The 23,684-nt window shown below is 35.3% G+C and overlaps 2 long non-coding RNA genes across 2 annotated transcripts in view; one reads left to right on the top strand and one right to left on the bottom strand.

Moving 5' to 3' along the window:
• Positions 1 to 3,340: 3,340 nt before the first annotated feature.
• The window catches only part of LOC102723724 (uncharacterized), a 104,643-nt gene continuing 84,299 nt past the window's right edge, over positions 3,341 to 23,684 (top strand). Inside the window, exon 1 of the long non-coding RNA XR_428030.5 lies at positions 3,341 to 3,577. This is a non-coding gene — a long non-coding RNA (uncharacterized LOC102723724). The remainder of the gene's footprint in view (positions 3,578 to 23,684) is intronic.
• LOC124901413 (uncharacterized) overlaps positions 3,586 to 23,684 on the bottom strand; it is a 31,714-nt gene continuing 11,615 nt past the window's right edge. The window contains exon 3 of the long non-coding RNA XR_007059792.1: positions 3,586 to 22,208. This is a non-coding gene — a long non-coding RNA (uncharacterized LOC124901413). The remainder of the gene's footprint in view (positions 22,209 to 23,684) is intronic.

Genomic DNA, 23,684 nt, shown 5'->3' with positions numbered 1-23,684 from the left:
TCTTCCCATTTAGCTTGCTTTCCTCTGGTTAATTCTCACCCTTCACCTATTTTACATATAACTACCCTTCCCTAATTGGTTTTCTACACTGTCGTGCCCACCTTTGAGTGGTGCCTTTGTTTTAACCTCTTTTGCATACTCACAAACCAGTCAGCACACACTCCTTCTGAGCCCATAAAAGCCCTGGACTCAGCCACACTGGGAGAGAAACCACCTGACTCTGGGTGGTTGATCACCCTCACGTCCCTTCTCTGCTGAGATGTGTTTTGTTACTTAATAAACTTCTTCTCTGTCCTCCTAACCCTTCAATTGGCAATGTATCCTCATTCTTCTTAGATGTGGGACAAGAACTTGGGAACTGCCGAATATGGGTATGACCTATAACATGGGCAGGCTGGGGTACACCTGGCAAGCCACGGGCTGAGCCAGTGTGCAAGCCAGGCACAGCCAAAGTGGACTGAGTGGATGGGCTATCTCTTGAGGCAGGTAGCGTGGCTGAGTGAGGCCTGGTCAGGGACATCACTGGCCAGAGGTCCCCAACTTGTAAATTGACTGAGAAAAATCCTGTGTCAAAGTTATCCATTTTTTTCCTATTCTGAGTGGTAAAACATAAAACTTTTTTTTAATCAGTAGATATATAATGACATGTGGATTTTAGGATTGAAATTTTTTTTAATAAGGATTATAATTGTTTAGAATTGATAAGAGAAAATATGTTTAGAAATGAAGGAAACCAAAATATTTTACCCAATTGTGTCTCTTTAATGTAAATCTTTTTAGCTAAAGGCAATTAAGAAGCAATAAAGAAAGAAAACACAACCTCTCTCTATCCTATCCCCTTTCTGCTCTAAAGGCAAGATGTAAATTTTACTTTTACTGAAGAGGGTGTAGGGATTTTATTAGCTCAGAAATGGCACCAACCAAGCCAGAGTAATAATGAAGCAAACTTTAGTACCCTCTCATAATTTTCCTTTCTTTGGGAGCTTGAAGCTGTTCTCATCTTTCTCTTTTCTCTGCTATAAAATGTACTGCTGTTTTTTAAAATATTTAAACATAGCTCCTAAACCACTGCTTTGAGAGAGTTACTTTTAGATACACTTTTCTCCAGTGTGATGGGAAGCATGCATATTAATATCCTTCTGCTTGCTTTTCTCTTATTGATCTTTCTTTTGTTTCAGGGAGAGTGTTACAACTATGAACTTGTGTTAATGAAAAATTATATTTCTCTCTTCTAAATGTGGAAAATATTGCTGGAAGAAACAGGCAATGAGTAGCATAAAGTCTGGAAACCCATGAGTTAATAATTACTGTTTTTTTTCCAGCTAGGTCTTCTAATTTCTTCAAGTAATTTTGTATGTGTCATAACTGAAATAGCACCACATCTGCATAGTAACCAGATTGACCCATAGAAGGCTCAGGTAGAAACCTAGAAGACCGTTCACTAACCACAATGACAAGAAGGCAAGATATCTCAAAGCTCGAAAAAGTCTAGAGAATTTTGTTAAAGGTAACATAGAAAAATAATGATAGAAGAAACCAAGGTTCTTTAACTTTTATTTTTATGCCATTTTATTGTGACACTACATATACTGAATTCTTGTCAACCACTAACATTTATAATACAGATCTTACATCTCACAAGAAAACAGAGAGTGAGCAACCTCCTAGAATGAAAAGAGCTTCATGTGCAAGGCTCTTGAACTCCTATAGAAAGAACTGATATAGTTATTACCATAATTAATATATACATTATATCCAGGAAAGCCTTATGAGTAGTCAGGTATTGGGATTAATAAATAAGGCAAGATTGTGTCCTTAGGTGTCATCAAGAACTGCAGGATACTTCTTCAATTCTTAAAATCTGGAAATTACAGTGAATCAGTTATCTGAAGCTCAAGAAGAAGTTAATTCTGCTTTATCTTAGTGGTTACTACTTTTAGTCAGAATTTTAGACGAGAAAACTGTAATTACAAAGAGGGAAGATGTCACAAGATGAAGTCCAAACCTCAAAAGTGCTGTTAATAATGGTTATTCTTTCACTTATAGTATAATCACTCTCAGCAGATATAATCTTGAAAGTAAAATATTAATGTAAAATAATGGTATTAAAATCTTGTCTGAAATTAGTAGAATTATCTCAGTGGCAATGCCAAAGTTCACCTATTTCATGTATATATTATAACTGTATCAACATAATCAATAAAAGTAAGTGGTCACTAACTAGAGTTCTGAAGGAGTTTCAGGACAGAGGATCAGAACTCACTGAAAGAAAATGGGTCTTTGTAAATACTTGAGCACTTTCAATTGTATCAACACAAACTAATAAGGTTAAATTTTTTCTTTACACTCTGATTCTTTGAATAAACTAAATGAATAGCCAAGAAAATTGGGTTAAAATGAAATTTAAAAGACTATTCTAGGTACTTTTCTATTCTATTTTCATTTATACTGAAATATTTCACGTCAGTTAAGAAACTCTGTTCCTACTTACTAATCATTTTCCACAGAAATTATGTGTTCAAAATTAGAGTTTATAATATTTGTAGAATTGCGTGTTTAATATATTTATTTCAATATCCCCAAACTTAAATTTCTTGGTAACTCAGAAGAAAAAAATCCTTAGAAATGGATGATGACTGAAGACAATACTAGAGAAGGATCTACAACTATTCATGAGTAAGCCTCCAAGATCTCTCTGCAAACAGTTAACTAGTTTTTACATTGTATAGAGGGTGTTTGTGTGTGAATGGAAACCGTCTATGAAGTTTCAAGTACTAGATATACTTAGGAGTGAAGGAGTGGAAATAAAGTAAAGCTTGGGTCAGTAAAAACAACAACAAAAACAACCATAGAGATCAGTCAAATTGAATCATGTAAAGTGACTCACTGTATGGAATAACTATGCCAGGGAAGACTAAGGTGAAAATAATGTTGATTTCATGGTGGAAGTCAGAATAAACATTTTAAGCCTAAATTCCTGATAGAGCTGGAATACCTAGAACTATTGAAGGTAACCAAATAATGTGTAAGAAAAATTTTCTGTGACAAATTATTAGATATTTCTAAGAGATTTAAACATAAAACTAAATTAATCTTAAACTGTCAAGTTTAACACCTGAAATCTTCACTTTGCTAACTTTATTAACATTTAGAGATTAGGGAATTCTTTTATAATTTTCCCTTCCTATTTTTTTCTGCCCATACCACTCCTCCTCCTGACTCTGAGACAGCCAAGTGGGAGGGGGGACCTCACAGAAACTCCAGCCAGCCTGCCCACTGGGGTGGAGCCTGGGGAAGTTCAAGCCCTTTGCAGGGAGGAGGAGCCTGGCCCCTCCTCTTCCTGTGTGGAAGCTGGGATTCCAATGGCAGGCAGGAAATCTTGTAGTAGGTGATCGTGGCCTTCCTTGGGATCCCTGTTTCCCCCTTTTATTCCCTTTTCACCCAGTAAAACCCTGCTTTGCTCACTCTTTAAAGCATCTGTGAGCGTAAATTTTTGTGGCCATGGGATGGACAAGAACCACATGTTTACCTGAAGTCCTGTGACATTTTGGTGTGCAGCATGGGAGCTCCAAAAGTGGTGAGTAAAATGAGGGCTCAAAATCTGTCACTGTTGTTTCTAAGTCTTTACATCCTCGGACTTCTGAGGGTGGGGGAACCATGCCCCCACCCCCGTGGCTCCCGGGCCTTTTCATGGCCTTTTCCTTCCTTTTTTGGGACCCATTGCTAAGCAGCAGTTCCTTGCCCTGCTGGGGCTGGGACGCATGGCCCAAGGGTCCCACACAGCTGGCTGGCTGGTTCCCAACCACAAGCCACCGCAGCCTTCCCCTTTCCTGGCCAAAGGGTTTAGCTTTATCGGACAGTAATTAAGCTTTACCTCTGGTGGAGGAACCAGTTGCATAAGAATAAGAGGTTCTTCCCCAGGCATTTTTAAACTTTTTTTTTCTTCCCCTTTTCCCTTTTCTACCCAACAGCAGTTAACCTTTAAAGGTATTTTTTCCCCTTTTAGAAGATGTTTTTACTAAACCAGGCTCCCCCCACAACTATCCAACTATCACTGTTTGTACACTTTGTAAAGTTTTGGTTGTGAAAAAGGATTTGTGGGGCTAGTCTTGGGCTGTGGCCAATCTGGTGTGCTTTGCGTGTCTGTATGGTTTGGTTGCAGCCTCCATCTTGCTTTGCATCCTGGGGGCATGGCCAGTAACTGCTTGGCAATCCCTCTTGTTTGGTAATCCCTCTTGAGGGAATGAGCCTTCTCAGATTAGATATCTGCATGTTTTCCTAGCCCTGTCTCTTATAGGGCCCCACCCAGCGACTGGGTTTTCTTCTGGCTGGCTGTGTAAGTACTATGCGTGATGTTTGTAAAAAGAGCTCTAATAATTTGGCCTAAAGAAAGAAGTGTTTGGATCAAGTATTTTTTTAAGGGAAGTTAAAAGCTGTGGTACCTTTCGGTTCACATGACTTTAATCTTTCAGAAATAAAAACAGCCCTAAAGACTACTGGGAAAATGCAGGTCAGATGGAAGTTTGCTAAGCGTTTTGAGGTTACAAACTGCTTCATGGGTTTTGAGAACTCTGTCTTGCCTGCTTCACAATTGGTAAGGCCTGCAGAAGTATGAAACTAAATGCACCCTTAACTAAGAAGGCAAACGTTGACTCCAGTTAGCACAATTAAAGCAACTTACCAGGATTTACCTTAAAGTTAACAATTGTTAAGGGTTACCATTATAACATGTGATTGAAACTACTGAAAATAGATTTACATGCAAGGTGTGTAAGAACAGTAAAATGTGTTTTTTAGTAAAAGGTTATAAGAAGGGATGGAAATAAAAATCTTTGCCTAGGGTCAAAGGATTGTTTTGAGTTAATTTAGGAAAAAGCTGAAAGTTCAAAGAAGTGGTAGAAGAATTGTGGAAAATAATCTTGCAGAAGAGACTCTCTGTGTGAACATATTGACTAAATTTTAAAAAGGGTATTATATGGTTTTTCTGTAAATTGAGCATTGAAATAAAAGCATAACAAGGTTTTCCTACGGTTCTAATCTGCTCTTTGGCAAAATTTGTAAAGGGTTATAAAAGGTCTTTGTTTCTTTAAAATTTCTGAGTCATGATTTTGGCAAAATAACTTACGATAATCTGGAATTCTATTTTATAATATCAAGTGTTTTAAACCTTAAGTATTTAACAGCCTTCCCAAAATAAAACTTCAGTTTCAAAATTGTCTTCTCTGGCACCTGGCTTTTTGAATGCTTCAGAGGACCCATGAAGTGTTCAGAAAAGGGAGGTTAAATAGGATTATTTAACATGTTTAAGTACATGGAATTGCCAAAATGATGCTCAGTCTTCTTTAGGTTATATCTTGGTGAATAATGCTAATATACATGACAAAATTGTATGGGATTTCTAAAATTCTAATGTCTGAGTATGTGCTATGAATTATAATTAAGGTTTTTATGTTTAAGTTATTGTAAACCACTGAGATAACCAAACTTCTTTGTCAATCATGTTTCTAACTGTAACTACTGTGGATATTTTGCTATTCACAGACAATTGTTGTCATGTCGTAATCCTTTTCAAAAGATGGTTTATAATGAGCTATAGGACACTGAGAGGTGCTCTCAAACATAATTTCTGATTGCACTTGAGACAATCAGGTTTCCGATAACTTTAGAAATTTTAACATTGACATAAAGGAAAATGTATAGGATTCATGAAGAGCTGCAATGTTCATGAATATCCAGTAAAACAAGAGTTAACTAAATGAACTGAACTTAGAAAGCTGAAGCAACCTTTTGAACCATTGCTTGGAATATTTCTGATCCTCGTTTTGTTTTTTCAGAGTCAAGTGAACTTATTTTGAATGGTTTATGGCCTTTAATAATTACATAAGTTATATACTCCTGTGATCAAAATTTGGAGCATGTTTGTTTCTCTCTGCCTGGTTCCTCCAGAATTTAGAACCTATCTGTGAGTACTCTTAACTTATGGCAATATAGCTGTTTGCATCAGTGCAATAAGAATTTATTTTTCTTTTGCAACAGGACACAATTGGAAAAAATGGTTACCAAGGCTTTGACTGGAAGGGTATGCTTCCCTTTAAGGAGTCAAACTCTACCTACAGAGCCAATAAAAGCCCCATGGGAGACTGGCCTCATACCTTCATCTGCACAATCCCTGTACAGAGTTCCTGACCTGTGGTCAGTAAAGAATGTCACTTTCTAACAGGTCTAGAAGCTCCAAGTTTATCTTGTGACCTTAAGAGGAGAGGATCACTCAACGCACAAGTATTTAAGGATACAAACCCATGCTTGGCTTTAAAAGGTTTTATCTGAGATTCCTTGTGGAAAAGAATTCCATGAAAGCCAATATAAAAGGCCTATGTAGAAATGATTATTCTTGCTGCACTTTATGCAGATAAAAAGGCCAAGTATAAAACTAAATGCAAACCACTCAGTCCTATGATGATGTCTTTTATTAACAAACATGAGGACTAGAAAGAGAGAAATCATGTATCAAAATTGATCATACATTATCATTCAATTCTAAACTCACCAGTTGTTTTTCAGTTTTTACCTACATTTTTAGACTAACCCTGCTTGTTCCTGTGAACCAACCAGCAATCTCTGGCTGCAGCTCAGAATGAACAAGAGGATAGGAAATGTGAAAATGAGGATCAATATTCTAGTTCTGAGCAATTATCCTGCAAATCCTTCCAGGTGATGGAATAAATAGGGTGCCGATCACCCAGAGGTTTCCTTTTTGGGAAAGTAAGACCAAGGGAACTAACCAAAGCAAAGCACCATGCCCCCAAATCCTAGCAAGCATAACTATAGCTACCAGTTATCTGGGTTATGTCACAAGGTATCCCTTTGTCTCCCTTGTTGGAGGAGGACTCAGTTCCACAGTTTCAGCTTAGCATTCGGCTTATGATAAGGGGTCCATGCAACTGCCCCAAGACACATTTTTGTCCCAAACTCAATTCTGAGCTTCAGGGCAAAGCCCTAGGAAAGAAAACTGGATCTAAAAGATCCAGAGGCAGATGACAACAGAGGTTACAAGGCACCGTGCAGGTGAGCATGGCTGATTCCTGCCAATTAAGCCAACCCCAAGCTTCCTGTTTCATGGATAAAGGCCACGTTAATATCTATGGCATAAATGAAGTCTAGGGAACTCCAAGGCTACTGACAGTAGGTGGGAAAGAGACATAGATGAGAGCAGATACTTCCTATTCTCTAGGACCTCCCTGCTTCATGAGTGCAAGCCACTTTGGCCCTCATGATGAGACCTGCCAAGGTCACTGGAACTCGGGGATGCAAGGATGGAAGATGGAAAGAGGACACTCTTCTCTCTCTCCCTCACGTACCCTGTGTATCTGCTAGGAAGAGAGGGGAACCAGGGATGCTGCTCCCCTCTTTCTAGATGGGTAGCCATTCATCTTCAGTCTGTACCCCTTTCAAATGCATCCTGAACCGCTAGGACTCCTTTGAATAAAACGCCTTCTTTTTCCTTTCTCCTCCTCAGTTCTCCTTTCACTAATAGGTAATTATGTTTCCATGTTTCCGTACTATGAGACACTCCCCTCAGATGCATTTGCCAAACTGGAAAGAGTTAATTGCCCAAAACTTAACACTGGTTGGCGTAGGATTGAGGTCAGGGGACGGAAACCCAAAAGCCCAAGGCAACAGCAAAAGAGTAAAGTTTTTGTTTGTTTGTTTGTTTGTTTTGTTTTGTTTTACCAGTTGTGCTTTTGGCCTCTCTCTCCCTGTGTAAACTGGTAAAATACCTCAGAATTTTAGAGCTGTCGTTAGCCCTCCCCTTGTTTCGTTTTGATACGTTTTCTAATAACCCAGTTTGTCTGTTCTTGCCTTCAGGCCATCAGACTCCAAGCAGTCATGCAACCAGAGGCTCTGACAATGACCTCTCCTGCTGGGAGCCCTTAAATAGGCCTCTAGGAAAACTCTGACCCATTTCCCCAAAACAGTGCCCCCTGTCAGCAGGAAGCAGTTAAGATCAGTCTTCATCCTTATCCTTAATCTAATGGCAGTTAGATGTACTTCTTTAGAGGGGGAAGTGAGACAGCCAGGTGGGAGGGGGTCCTCAGAGAAACTCCAGGTCCTCGGAGAAACTCTAGCCATCCTACCCACTGAGGTGGAGCCTCGGGAAGTTCACGCCCTTTGCAGCATGGCCTGCCTGGCCCCTCCTCTTCCTTCCCTGGAAACCAGGGATTCCAACAGCAAGTGGGAAATTCTCTAGCAGGGGACTCTGGCCTTGCTGAGGATCCCTGTTTCCCCCACTCTTTTTTCCCCTTTTCGCCCAATAAAACCCTGCTTTGCTCACCCTTTAAACCGTCTGCGAGCCTAAATTTTCATGGCTGTGGAATGGAGAAGAAACCTGTCTTTAGCCGAACTAAGGAAAGTCCTGCAACAGTTTCATGAGTGTTTTCTTCTTGTCATTTAGATCAAACTCATCAATTCCTAGAAGAATCTTGTTCATTCCCTAGTTCAAGCTGCTTCTCATTCGTTGAGTCTCTCTCTAACACATTATCCTATTTGTGCCTGTCATGGTACACTGTACCTAAAATGATTGAATAGTTTCTTTGATAATTTAGTTTCCTGCCATTAGAATATAAGCTTATTAAAGACAAGTTTACTGTTTGTCTTGTTCATTCCTATATCCCCATCACCCACAACACAACCCATTCCCCGTCTTGCATACCACTGCCATTTAGTTTATTTGGTTGACAGTTGCCGTGATCTCTGTATTCAGTTCAGGATATGCATCCTTTGGATTTATAGTGGCATTCTGATCAGGAATATCAGCATCATTCTTTTCTGTGGATTATTCATCTGTGAGGCTCTAAATGGTTTTGTTTATGTGTTTGTTTTTGTTCAAAGGTCAGCTCAATCTTATATTTAATTCTGAAAAATATGACATGACAAATGTTAATTATAATTATTATTCACTTGTGCTTGACAAATACTGCTTTCTAAAGAAAAATTATCATTGTGATACTATTTCTTTAAAACCCCAAAATGTAACCAGTGGACTTCTCTCTAGTATACTATACTAAGACTTCAATACTTCTAAGCTATTGTTTTCGTTTTTTATTACTCAAACTGTTTATATATGGAGACTGCTTATCAGATAAATTCATTCTGGGCTTTTTGCAATTATACTTCAACTAGCATTCTTACCTTAAAAAGCTAATAGTATTGTGTTTTAATAAAATTGAATAAAACTCAAATATACCCAGTTTTCACAATCTTTTTAAAAGAGTCTATTGACAGCAATTTTTAGTTGGAATTTTTATCAGAAATATCCTCCAAACCAAAAGCTTTGGACAAAATATTTAGTTTGATTTATTTGGTCATTATTGTGGCTGTAAATGTTTGTGTTTATGTAAACTGTTTTTGTCTACATGGTATTGAAACATGAATTTTTTTTGTCTCAACTAAAAACAATTGTATTCCAAGATATCTTGAAGTGTCTTCACGTGTGTAAAATAGTACTTCAGCATTACTGTATTTACAATGATATTAATTATAGGTAGATCCATCCTATGTGGTAAAATGAAAAGGACTCTAATATTTCTGGTCTTAAACTGTTATGCAGTTTCAACAATGAAAGTTTATTATTTGGGGCTAATTGTTTTTTAATTCCAGGGCTTAAAATATATGTGATTATTATTAATTACGATTATAAAGACAATTTTATTATTTAACTGTATCTAGGAAAATGAAGGAATTGAAAACAAACTTCAACTTGGCCAAAATTTAGCCTAGAGCTATTGCCTGAAAAATAAGTAGAACCCATAGCAAACAAGCATTGTGTGAATCATGTAGTGTTTTGTTTTGCATTGCCATACCTGTCAATCAGCCTAAACTGTTGATTGTCCATGTAAACACATAACATAATAATGTTAAACATTTTTTTAAAGGCAGTCCAAAATACAGGGCATAGTGTTATTGGTGGAAGTTACTGGTGATGAAGGAGAATGTAAAATTGTTTTAATTCTCTTTACATTTTTCATTGCTCCATTTTAAATACATTTTAATAGACATTCATTATATTTAGAAATTAAATGTTTGGGATATCTAAATAAACATTAGTTCAGTTATTTTTCCCTTTTGTCTTTTACATCTGAAACCTTTTAGGCTTTGACCTAGATTCAGATTCAGTGGCACTAATCACTAATACTTAACAAAAAAACAATTAAAATGTGAAGTATGCTAATGTCTTGCTTCTTTGAATATTCTACCCCTGAGGATTATTTGTTTTTAATTCCCATCACTTTTTAACAGCACTCCTAGGAAACATTTAACAATAGTTTTAAATAAAGGTAATTTTTTGAAAGAATAATAAACTTAGCAAGATAATTTTTATATTCAAGGATATAGTCAAATGCATTTTCTAAAAGACATTTTATTTATTAGGCAAAATTAGAGTTTTACAAGTGACATAATGGTATAGGCTATTATTCTATGACAGTTTAATAAAATATTGGCTAATTTAGGTATATAAAGAAGATTTTGCTTTGTGCATTATAGACTAATTGACTTAAATTATTTTAAAATATTTTCTTACATTTAAATATTTTCCTTTAGGACATGAATCATAAGCATTCAAATTGCCTACTAGAAAATTGTGTAATGTCATAAATAAAGTATAACAGTTAAATTTTTGGTGGACCTATTTTATCTGAATACAGTAAGTTAGTATGATTGTTTCAGATATCTCAGGATAAGTACAAAATCTACATTGTGAATACCCCCAAAGGTACTCACTCAGAAACACAGTTTGTACACTTACAAAGATAACATCCTTCACAAAAGAAAAGAAAGCAGTTTGCATAAATCTTAATAATTTGAAATAAATCATATTATATACAACAGGAATTGAAATGAAATTATATGATTAAGTAAATTACCTTTAGCCTGTGTTCTACTGAGAATACACATAACAACAACAAACTTTAAACTCAGCCCAATTCCTGAAACGTTAATGCAAGCAAGTATAATAAAGGTTTAGCAGAAGAAGTATGCTTTAAACATCAAATGCTCAGTCTCTAAATTCCCATACAAGGTATCTGACTGTCAACTAAAAATTTAGAGGCATATGAAAAGATAAATAACAAATAACACTCTAATGAGTGAAATAAATAATTACAGGATTAATATATGACAAAAATGTTGGAACAATCAGAAGGAGAATGTAATGTAACTGTGATTAACATATTAAAAGCTTTAATAAAAGTGGAATAAAGTATGAAAGACCAGAAAGATACTTTCAGCAATCAATTGACTATAAGAAAGAAGCAAATGAAGATTCTAGAAGTCAAAGCACAGTAACAGGGATGAAGAATGGTTTTGAAGCACTCATTAGTAGATTCAACACAATCAAGAGAAAAGTCAGTAAACCTGAGGATAACCCTAATAGAAATTGCTGAAAATAAAACACAAAGAGTGAAAAGAGAGAAGGAAAAATAAAAAAAGCAAAGAGGAAAAGTTGTAGGACAATATTATATATACTAACATACACATAGTTGACACTCAGAAAGAGAAGAAAGACAGAAAGGGCTGAAAACAATTACACTTTGAGAATTTTGCAAAATCAGTGCCAGACACCAAACGACAGATTCAAGAAGCTCAGGACACCAAGCAGAATAAAAACAAATAAAGCAACAGCAAAAACACAAACAAAAACCTCGCCTAGTTGTGCCATGTTGAAACTGCCAAAGGTCAAAGACAAATAGAACATCTCTTAGGCATTCAGAAAAAGACATATTTCCTACATAAAAGCAGTGTTAAAAATAACAGCAGACTTCTCAAACGTTCCACACAACCAAGAAGACAATGAAGTGTCCTTTTAAACGTGCTAAATGAACACACACGCACACACACACACACACGCTCAGACCTAACTTCTGTGTCCAGCAAAAATGTGTTTTTCAAAAAAGGGGAGAAATAAATATTGTCCTAGACAAACAAAAACTGAGAAAAAAACAGAAATGATGTACTCTATGTTCATAGCACAAGTAAAATTTAAATATTTGACAATGACATCACAAAGATAGGGGAGGGTGATTGAAAAAATTTAGTGTAAGTTCTTTAACCCATACATAAAATAGTGCAATGTTATAGAAACATAGAATCAGATTAATTTAAAATGCATATTAGAAACCCTAATAAATTTACTAAATCTGATTTAAAGTACTGTAAGCCAACAGAGCAAAGCAAGCTAGAATTTCTTAATGCTCAGTTAATCTGTAAAAATGAGAAAAGAAGAAAAAACTAACAATGAACAAAAGGAACAAATAAAAATTACCTACCAGATTAGTATATTTTAATCCAACTATATCAAATTTACTTTAAATACAAATGTTCTAAACACACCAGTTTAAATTAAAACATTGTCAAATGGGATAAAAATGTGAGACGCAAGTATATGCTCTCAGCAGGAAAACCATATTAAGTATAAATGCGTAAAAATATGAAAAGCAAATGGATTAGAAAAGGTACATAATGCACAAAATAATAAAAAATAGAATTATAGCCGGGTGTAGTGGCTTATGCCTGTAATCTCAGCACTTTAGGATGCTGAGACAGGAGGATCACTTGGGCCCAGGAGTTCAAGACCAACCTGGGCAACATAGTGAGACCCAATCTCTACAAAAATTTTTTTAAAAAATAGCTAGATGTGGTGGCACATGTTTGTAGTTCCAGCTATTTAGGAAGCTGAGATGGGAGGATAGCTTGAGCCTGGGAAGTAGGGGCTGCAGTGATCCATGATCACACTACTGCAGGCCCTGTCTCAAAAAAAAAAAAGAAGAAGGAGAAGAAGAAAATTAGAGTGTCTATGTTAATATCAAACAAACATCAAAACAATAAACATTATCAGAGGTAACAAGGAAGATTACTTTATGATAAAAAGGTCAATTCTCCAACGAGACATAACAATCTTAAATTTTTAAAGAGTTTTAAAAATATGAGACAAGAATGGAACTTAAAGATGAAATAGAGAAATTCAAAATTATAGGTAGAAAATGCAATATGTCTATCTCAGTATTTAATAAAGAAGTAGGCTGAAAATTAGGGTATGATGACCTCAAAACACTATTAACCAACATTTCATAATTGATATTTACAAAACACTTCACCCATCAAACACCAAAAAAATCACATTAATTTGAAGCTCACAGGGAACATGCACAGGACAGATAACATTCTAACCTCTAAAACAAACTAAAAATTTTAAAATACAAAAAAATCTGCAAACTATGTTCTCTAATCATAATTGAATAAAATTATAAATCAGTAACAGAAAGATGGGTAGAACACTGCAAAATATTTTGTACTTGAACAACACACTTAACTCATGTTAAGAAGAAGTGTCAAGGTTGTTAAAAATATTTTGAACTAAATGAAAATGTAGCAAAATATGTGAGATGCAGTAAAAGCAGTGTTTAGAGGGAAATTTATATCATTAAATGCATATATTAGAAAAGAAGAAACACTTGAAAATCAATACATATAATACTCTTTTTTAGAAAACTAAAGAAAAAAAGCACCATTCAACCCTAAAGCAAATAGAAAATGAACGTAGTACACATAAACCTAAGAAATTGAACACAGAAAAATAATAGAGAAAATCAATGAAAACAAACATTGTTTTTTTGAAAAGATCAATAAAATTGATAAGCCTGCCAGTTTAGCCAAGAAAAAAGAGAGGATACAATGTCGTGAATAAAACAAGTATCACCTCTGCTGATTACAAAGGGAATACTAAGAACAACACTATGCCCAGACATTTGACAACTTAGGTGAAAAGAAAATTCCTTGAAAGGCACAACTATCAAAACATACTCAAGGATAAATAAATAGCCTGAATAGCTTTATATATGTGCTTTAAATACATTGAATTATTCATTAAAATCCTTCCAAAAGAGAAAACGTAGGTGGTTATATTGGTGAGTTCTACCAAACATGTAATGAAGAAACAATACTAATTCTACATAATCTCTTCTAATATAACAGGCGAGGAGAAAATGCTCCCTCACTCCTTTTACCAGGTCACCATTACCATCTTACCAAAACCAGAAAAAGACATTTCAAAATGAGAAAACTACATACCAATATCTGTAATGACTATAGACAAAACCTTCAATGAAATTTTATTAGACCAAGTCAAAAAATGTGGGCCAGGTGTGAAGGCTCACGCCTGTAATCCTAGAAATTTGAGAAGCTGAGGTGGGTGGATCGCCTGAGGTCAGGATTCCAAGACCAGCCTGGCCAACATGTGAGACCCTGTCTCTACGAAAAATACAAAAATTAGCCGGGCATGATGGCGGGTCCCTGTAATCCCAGCTACTTGGGAGGCTGAGGCGGAAGAATTGCTTGAGCCTGGGAGGTGGAGGTTGCAGTGAGCAGAGATCCCGCCATTGCACTCCAGCCTGGGGGATAGAGTGAGACTCCGTCTCAAAAAATAAAAATAAAAATAAAAATAAAAAAATTAAAAATAAATAATGAACAACTGGGTTCATCTAGGAATACAAGTTTGCTTCAATATTTGGCAATTAGTAATTGTATTCATCATGTTAATAGATGAATGAAGGTAAACCGAATGCTAATCTTAATAGGTGCAGAAAATATTTGACAAAATTTGATATCCATTCATAATAGAAACTATTAATCAAGAAAAGAAAATGATATTAAGCTAATAAAATTTTCAAAAAGCCTATAGCTAGCATAATACTTAATGTTAACATAATGAATGTCCCCCACCCCAAGTTTGAGAACAAAGCAATGTTTTCCTTTCTTACCATTCCTATAAACATTTTACTGGAAGTCCTAGAAAATGCAATAAGGCAAGAAAAAATAAAATACACTTTTCTATGTTACAATGTCAATATAAATGTCTATTATATTCTCATATATTAGCAATGAATAATCAAATTTTCAAATAAAGAATACCTTTTTAGTATAACACCAAAATAGAAAAGTTATCAGTTTAACAAAAAATACAGTATCTGTGTTAACTATGAAACACTAGTTAACAAAATTAAACAGGCAAACAAATTAAGAGATGTAAATTGTTCATTAGTTAGAGGATTGAAAATGTGGTGATGTCAATTCTCCTTAATTTTACTTATGGATTTAATTCTATTCCAATTAACATCCTAGTAATAAAATTGTGAATATAACAACATGACACTAACATTTATGTTAGTTATAATATGTTTATATTAAGGCAGAGCCAAAACAGTATTAAAAAAGAAAAATAAAATTGGAGGTTTGTCATCTCTGATCTTAAGACTTCCTATAAAGCTACAGTAATCAAGACAGTTTGGTACATATCAGCACAAGGATAGACACATTCATTATTAGAAAGAACATAGAGTCCAGAAATAGACTTACACAGATAAAAATGTACTTGTTTTTGATAAAGTTCTAAAGGTAATTCAGTGAAGAACAACAAAAACCTTAAAAACCTTATGTCACATCTTGTACAATATTAATTTCAAATGAAACATAGGTCTAAATGTAAACCTACAAACATTTTAGAAGATAACATAGGGGGAATCTTTATGTCCTTGAGTTCAGCAAAGACATTTTAGATATGAAAGTAAAAGAAGAATCCTTAAAAATGATAAGCCAGATTGTATAAAAATTAAAAACTTTTTCTCTGTGAAAGATACTGTTATGAAAATGAAAAGACAAGCCAAAACCTGGGATGAAATATTTGCAGCCCTTATGCCTGATGAAGGAATTCTCTCTAGAATAGGCTAAAAGAATATAAAAAATTGTTGAACTTACCATTATAAAACAAACAATTCCTATGACATTACTTGCAAGAATCTGAACAGACTCTTCACAAAACAACATATATGGATGGCAAATAAACATAAAGATTCTCCACGTCATTAATCTTCAAGGAAATTGAAATTAAAACCATATTGAAATATTACTGTTCATATATTATAATGTCTAAAACCAAAAGAAAAAAAACCAACCTGAAAATAAGAGCTTTTCAAGGTGCTGAGAAGTGGAACTCTCATATGTTGCCACAAGGGATGGAGAAATGGTATCGCCACGTTGGAATAAAGACTGGTGGTTTTCATAGTTGTTATAAAGTTATACACTTAACCATAGACTTAGTAATTTCACCACAAGTTATTTAACTGATGTGGTTTGGCTGTGTCCCCACCCAAATCTCATCTTGAATTGTAGCTCCCATAATTCCAACATGTTGTGGGAGGGACCTGGTGGGAGATAATTGAATAGAGGGGGTGGTTTCCCCCATACTGTTCTGGTAGTAAATAAGTCTCATGAGATCTGATGGTTTTATAACAGGTTCCCCATTCACTTTGCTCTCATTTTCTCTTGTCTGCTGCCATGTAAGACATGTCTTTTGCCTTCTGTCATGATTGTGAGGCCTCCCCAGCCAAGTGCAACTGTGAGTCCATTAAACCTCTTTTTCTTTATAAATTACCCAGTCTTGGGTATGTTTTTATCAGCAGTGTGAAAATGGACTAATACATTAACCTAGTAAATATGTTCACCCAAAAGTCTGTATGCAATAATTTATAGGAGTTTTATTCATAACTGAAACTGGGAACAACCCAAATGACTTTCAAAAGATGAATGATTAACACACGTAGACACATCCATGCAGTGAAATGTTACTCAGCTATAAAAAATAATTAACATGGATTTACACAACATGGATGCATTTTCAATGCATTTTACCATGAAAGGAACAAGCCCCAATTGTATGATTTCAATTATATGACATTCTGAAAAGGCAAACTATAGAGACAGAAAACAAGTCAGTGATTGCTAAGAATTGAATGCAGGAAGACGAGTTGACTACAAAGAAGCAACACAAGAGCCTTTTGGAGATAATAAAGTTATTCCGTATGATATTGTGGTGGTAGACACATATATCAATGCGTTTGTCAAACATACGGAACTATCCACCCAAAAGAGTGAATTTTACTGTATACAAAGTTTTGAGAAACCCAATTGACCGGAGAAACCTAATACGAAATACAGACTTTGGCCAATATATCTGACTATATTGCTAATGTGTGATATAATCACAGTGAAGCAAGAGGAGAATAAAAAAGCTACCTCAAGTAACTCATAAAATGGTGGTTTTTTTTTACTAGATACCGTAAGACAAAAGGCAAGTATGATTGTATCCAAATACTGTGCCTTTGTGAAAAAAAATAGCCTAAAGGTTATAGATCAGCAATTCTGAACCACTATACTTAACATATTATTGTTGAACAAATGTTTAAATATAATATAGATAATGTGAGCCACATTTTTTTACTGTAGGAGAAAGAGGTTGTAAATAAAGGGGAATGATAGATGTAGTGCTGGGTTGAACTTGGAGATATCAGTATGAACACGTTTATTATAATATATGCATAGATACAGAAATAGGCACAGATATGTGTATATATATGACTTAGTATACATATATACATTTCTTAGTCCAAAACACGGAGAACCTAGAAGCAGGCTCCCCACCAGCAAAGAAAACACCTAGAACCCATATTATAGTTTCTAAATATAATTCTCTAATTAATTGAACCAGGGTTTCTTGGAGAAACTATTGGTGCTAGGGTTGTAGCAGGGAAAGACAAGACAAACCCAAAACAAGTTGCCAAGCCAGGAGGTAAGGTAGAATCTTTAAAATATACTAATTGACAAGAGGAGAGAAAAAGGAGAAAGAGGAGAGAGAAGGGGAAGGAGAAGGAGAACGGGAGGAGGAAGAAAGGGGAGGGAAAAGAGGGAGGAGAAAGGAGGAGGAGCAGGAGGATCACCACCCAGAAGCCAATGGAGGAGGAGGAGGAGGAAGTGGAAGAGGAGGAGGAGAAGGAGGCAGAAGAGCAGGAGGACCACCACACAGAAGTCAACTAGAAAAAGTTCCCACAGATTAACTCAGGAACAATTTGAGCCATAAAGTACATAATGACAGTCTTGGATTATAACTCAAAGAATAAAATTCTCTTGAATCTATAGCGATATAAGAAAATAAGTCAATAAATAAGTCAGGAGAAAGGAGCAACTTTAACTTCCAGAAGAATTCGAATACATGTAGGAGTGAAGGAGTACAAAAATCACCCCAAAAGCATCACAGTAAACAATGCCGCATGCAAGAGACGACTGCTAGAATTAGTGGAAGAAACTTAAGAAACTTTAAGAAGAAATAGGATATTTGCATGTCCTTAAAGCTTCTTCTCTAAAATATTTGCTAATATGGTGACTTCTATGGTTCCTTCAAGAGGTGAGCTTGATTTCCCTGTCTTTGGGTATGGGCTGTGTACTTACTTTCTCACTTCTAATAGAGTACAGCAGGTTTAAAAAAAGCAACTCTACAGTGGAGAGAAGGAACCTAATGGATGCTGCTTTTACCAAGATATCAAGGTTAACATTACCAGTAGTAAGACAGTGATTATCATGTATTCCCTGACACAAAGAAGAAGAAGGGAAGGAGAAGGGCATATCATTTCTATGCTATGCTTCCCCAAAATGCATACCCTACATCTAATATGAGAAAACAGCAGCCAAAAATAAATTGAAGGACATTTAATTACACAACTGCAAGTATTCTTTAAAAAAAAGCCAGGCCATGAAAAACAAAGATGGAGAAAATGTCACAAATTAGAGAAGACAATGAATACTTGCCAACTATACATAATATGATAGCTTAGATTTGATCCTAAACATAAAAATAGGAAACACATAAGTAGAAAAACTGAGAAAATCTGAACAATGTCTGTAGCTTAATTAGTAGCAGTATATCAATGCCAGTATCTTAAGTGTGATTATTGTCCCATGGTTATGAAGATGCTAGTATTAGGGAAAGCTAAGATGGGACCAGGTGATGGATATATGGGACTGTCTTTTCCCCTCTTTGCTATCTTCTCTAGGTCTTTATTTATTACAAAATAAAAAGTTAAAAAAACAGATTTACACTCAAAAGGTTTCATAATCATGCCACAGATAAAAAGTTACATATATTTTCATGGTGCAGAATCATAGAACACATATAATTTATACATTTTGTTGCACTTTTTTTTCAACTTTTCAAAAATTGATTACAATAAGCAAATTACACATGGAAGAAAAAATATAATAAGGAAAGAATATGACATTCAAACATTGGTCATTTTCACAATTTATTTGATTTATCTATTTGATCTTACAACAGTTTGTGAGAAAAATACAATTAAACTTATTTACTGTGTTTTGAAGAAGAAAAATTTATTAGTCTGCCTTTTCAGTACACAATTAATTGTCTGTGTGAGTCCTGGAATATTAAACAGGATTAATGCACTACACTTTCCCACAAATGTTCAGTTTCCCTGCAGTGCAGAGAGAAAGATGTAGCTGTCTGTCCTAAAAATAGATAGATGCAAAGCTGCTAGTGCAAGTGTGTGCAAATTTTGTTTGCTTGGTATGTAGAGTGCAAAAGGTAAGGCAAACAGCGAATATATTTCTGTGGGTTATACGTCAATTTCTGTAGAAGCAGTGGTATATTAGTTTAAAAAAAGCTTATCCTTTTTTTTTTAACAATGTCAAGAAATACAGGTAGACAGGAACGTAACATAGATGTCTATATTTTTAAGTTTAGGGGAATACTTAACTTTTGACAGCTTTAGCATTCATTATATATCAGGTTCTACAGTGTATAGATAAAAAAAGGATTTTATGTGAACAGAGTATATTGTTCCCCATTGTAATAAATTGCATAATTCAAAATTGCTAACTTAATTGAAGTTACTTTTTAAATATATAGTATAAGTGAAATTTGTTTGATCATTTTTTATTCATTCAATAAAAAAATCATTAGTTGTTGGCTCTTTGCAACTGTAAGAGAGACTGAATGTGTTATGGTCAAATTGAAGACACATTTTGATGCATTTGTATATCACAAAGGTGGTTTGAGGACCACCTAGAGATAAACATATCTCAGGTGAAAACATTTATCGAATACCTATACAGTAGCACTTCTTAAATTTCAGTGTGAACAAAAATTACCTTGGGATCTAGTTTAAATGTAGATTTGTATTCAGTAGATCTGTTATGGGCCCTGAGGTTTGGCATCTCTAACAAAATGATGTCAGTGCTGGTGGTCTGTAGGTTGCAATTTGAGTAGCAGGGCTCTAGAATACACATGTTTATAAATGACCCAATCACCTTCCAGATCACCAACAGAAAGATATGCCAGCTTTTCATACAATGACAAGAGAATAGTAATGCATGAAAACAATCGATGACTCCACTAGAGAAGACACTGTATGAGGGGAGGTTTTTTGGTCTGTGTTTTCTCTGCTTTAGTTCTGGTGCTCATAACAGTGTCCAGCACATGATAGACACTCAATATTACTTACTGAGTGAAAGGTCAACTAGTTGAAATGTTTTATTATATGGAGGATGAAAAATAGTTCCTACCCAATATTTTTATACTTTTATGCTTCAGAATTATGAAAGTCAAATAGAAAAGTCAAATATTAACTTGAGTTAACAGGAAGTTAAAAGAAGAGGACAGTATCATTTAGAAATGCAAATTAATTAGCAAACAAATTAGTGTTCTGAGTTTATACAGTTTTAAAACTTTACTTTTTAAAACATAGTAAATTTGTTACACTAACTTTAAAAAATTATTAAATTTTCTTTACTACAAAAAGAAAAATAAAGTGATTCTGTTCATTTGTATTTGAGAAAGAATGTGGGCATATATTCTGCATGTAGACAATTGTTTCTATAACTTCTTATATTAGAGAGTATATTTTTAAAAACGGTGTCTACATCATCAGGTTATTGTAAGGATTAAGCAGAATTACTTATTCAAAATATAAAGTAAAAATGCATGGCACAAAATAAAGGTTCAATAAAGTATTATTATCAATAATTAAGTAAAATAATATAGAATAATTCAGTACATAGCTTAATAGGTGACTGTGCAGGATGATGAGAAAACCAAGGAATTTGGAGAAATAACCTATTATTTTGAGCCCTGGCTTCTTTGCTAGTGGATTTTCTGACCTTAAGCAACTCCGCAGGTAGGTCTGGATATATAAATTAAATAAGAAGGGAGAAGGTTTTATAAGCTCTGCAGTGCTAAACAAATATTAGTCTGTACAGGCCTGGAAAAATAGAGAAGGAATGTTTCTTAATCTTTTAAATTTCATGACATTCATGTCAATCTATGAAGATTTACTGAAAATCATGAGTCCAAATATATTATGCTAAAACCCTTGTGCTCAGGCTTAGCAGGTCCAGAACTTCACCTCAAATAGTCTTAAAGCTAGAAAAATACTACAGAAAATTCACTAACAAATGTGAAATTACATGGAGGGCACATGAAGGAGTGTGGGGTGCACTTATGTGTGTGATTTTATTAAGGTATAAATCTTCTGTTATTTTGCTTGCTAAAGGACAGATGGCTGCCTTAAAATGGAATCTGGATGCAGCATCCACATACTGAATGTCATTATACACAGCAACAGCTGTGTTTAGCATATCCTTCATTTGAATTCTAGTTCAGGGGAAAGACAAAAAAGCATAGGCTGTCTATTATCACCAGGCACTATGTCCAAATAATAAAAACAGATTTTCTAAGGAACTCATATTTAAGGGGAATGTAGTCATAGTTATTGAGAAATCCAAGATTGTGAAAATGACTAATCCTAGACCTGTGGCATAGCCTTTGTTAAATTTTACCCAGGAACTAATAAGTCAATGCCCAGGGAACATAAGGAAGGACATGCAATTTGAAGAGTCTAAAGAAAGCACTAGTATAAAACTGAGAAATAAGTGAAAGCATTTAATCTGTGTGAAATTTTCAGGTCTTTTTCATCATAATGTATACAAATCCAGTTGATGCTTCTGAGGATGACAGTAAAGCTCTGTATTACCTCAACCTGCCGTGGGAAAATACCATACAGTGGATGGTTTAAACAACAGAAGTTTATTTTCAGAAAGTTCCAGAGGCTAGAAGTCTCAGACCAAGGTCTGACAGGCTCCATTTCTGGTGAGGACTCGCTTCATGGCTTGCAGGTGACAGTCTTCTCACTGTCCTCATATTGTGGGCAGCTGGCGGGAGTGCTTGCAAGAGAGAGGAAAAGAGATGGAGAGAAAGAGAGCTCTCCGGTGTCTCTTCTTGTAGTGACGCCAGTCTTAGGAGATCAGAACCCAACCTTAAGACCAAAATGACCTTAATTACCTCAAAAGGCCTTGTGTTCAGATGCAGTCACATTAGGGGTTAGGGCTTCAACAGTTCCATCCATAGCAAATTCCTAAATTAACATTATTACTATATGCATGGCTATACATTTTTATAATTCTGTACTTTTACTTTTGGAATTACCCTGTGGTATGTTGTAAGCAACTTGATGGGAAAGGGTTCTGACGACTGAAAGTAGCAAGCCTGCCTCTAGTTTTAGCTGCCACTTACTAATCTGTATGACCTTAGGCCAGTTACTTTACCTCTCAAAGACTGTTTTTTATTTGCAAAATGAGGCTAATAATATTATACATACTGCAAAGTTTCAGATAGGCACGTACAATAAGCACAGAATAATTAATATCTTCTAAAATAAAATTTCCCTTAAAATAGAGAATTGTTTTTCTTTAGATGACAGCACTTTTAAATTGCTAATTTACCCCAATTTTTTACTAATATTTTGGTTCCTTCTAAACCTTAAAAAATATTTATAAAAAGACATTTAAAATATGGCAATGATAATTGATAAATATTTGTATCAGGAAATAATTCACATAAAAGCAAAATATTAAAAGGTTTTTTATTTGACTTGGCTTAAATGAATCATGAAGGGTGGAAGTGATGGGTGCCACAGATATAAAAAGAATAACAGTGATAAGGCCAGGCTTGGTGGCTCACGCCTGTAATCCCAGCACTTTGGGAGGCCAAGGCGGGCGGATCACGAGGTCAGGAGATCGAGACCATCCTGGCTAACACGATGAAACCCCGTATCTACTAAAAATACAAAAAATTAGCCAGAAGTGGTGGCGGGCACCTGTAGTCCCAGCTACTCAGGAGGCTGAGGCAGGAGAATGGCGTGAACCTGGGAGGCGGAGCTTGCAGTGAGCCAAGATCAGGCCACTGCAATCCAGCCTGGGCGACAGTGTGAGACTCTGCCTCAAAAAAAAAAAAAAATAGTGACAATAACTGACAATTTTATGAAGTAACCTTTATTAATAATTTGATTGATAAATGGGCAAAATAAGACACACAGCTCATAAGCCAAAGAGAACAAGATTATAACTCAGGGGTTGTGGCTCCAGTGACTAGCAATTTTTTTTAATTTTATTATTATTATACTTTAAGTTTTAGGGTACATGTGCACGATGTGCAGGTTAGTTACATATGTATACGTGTACCATGCTGGTGTGCTGCACCCATTAACTCGTCATTTAGCATTAGGTATATCTCCTAATGCTATCCCTCCCCCCTCCCCCCACCCCACAACAGTCCCCAGAGTATGATGTTCCCCTTCCTGTGTCCATGTGTTCTCATTGTTCAATTCCCACCTGTGAGTGAGAACATGCGGTGTTTGGTTTTTTGTCCTTGCGATAGTTTACTGAGAATGATGATTTCCAATTTCATCCATGTCCCTACAAAGGACATGAACTCATCATTTTTTATGGCTGCA

The sequence above is a fragment of the Homo sapiens genome, chromosome 6 (assembly GCF_000001405.40).
Source record: "Homo sapiens chromosome 6, GRCh38.p14 Primary Assembly".
NCBI lineage: Eukaryota > Metazoa > Chordata > Mammalia > Primates > Hominidae > Homo > Homo sapiens.
This window is presented reverse-complemented; position numbering and strand designations above follow the sequence as displayed.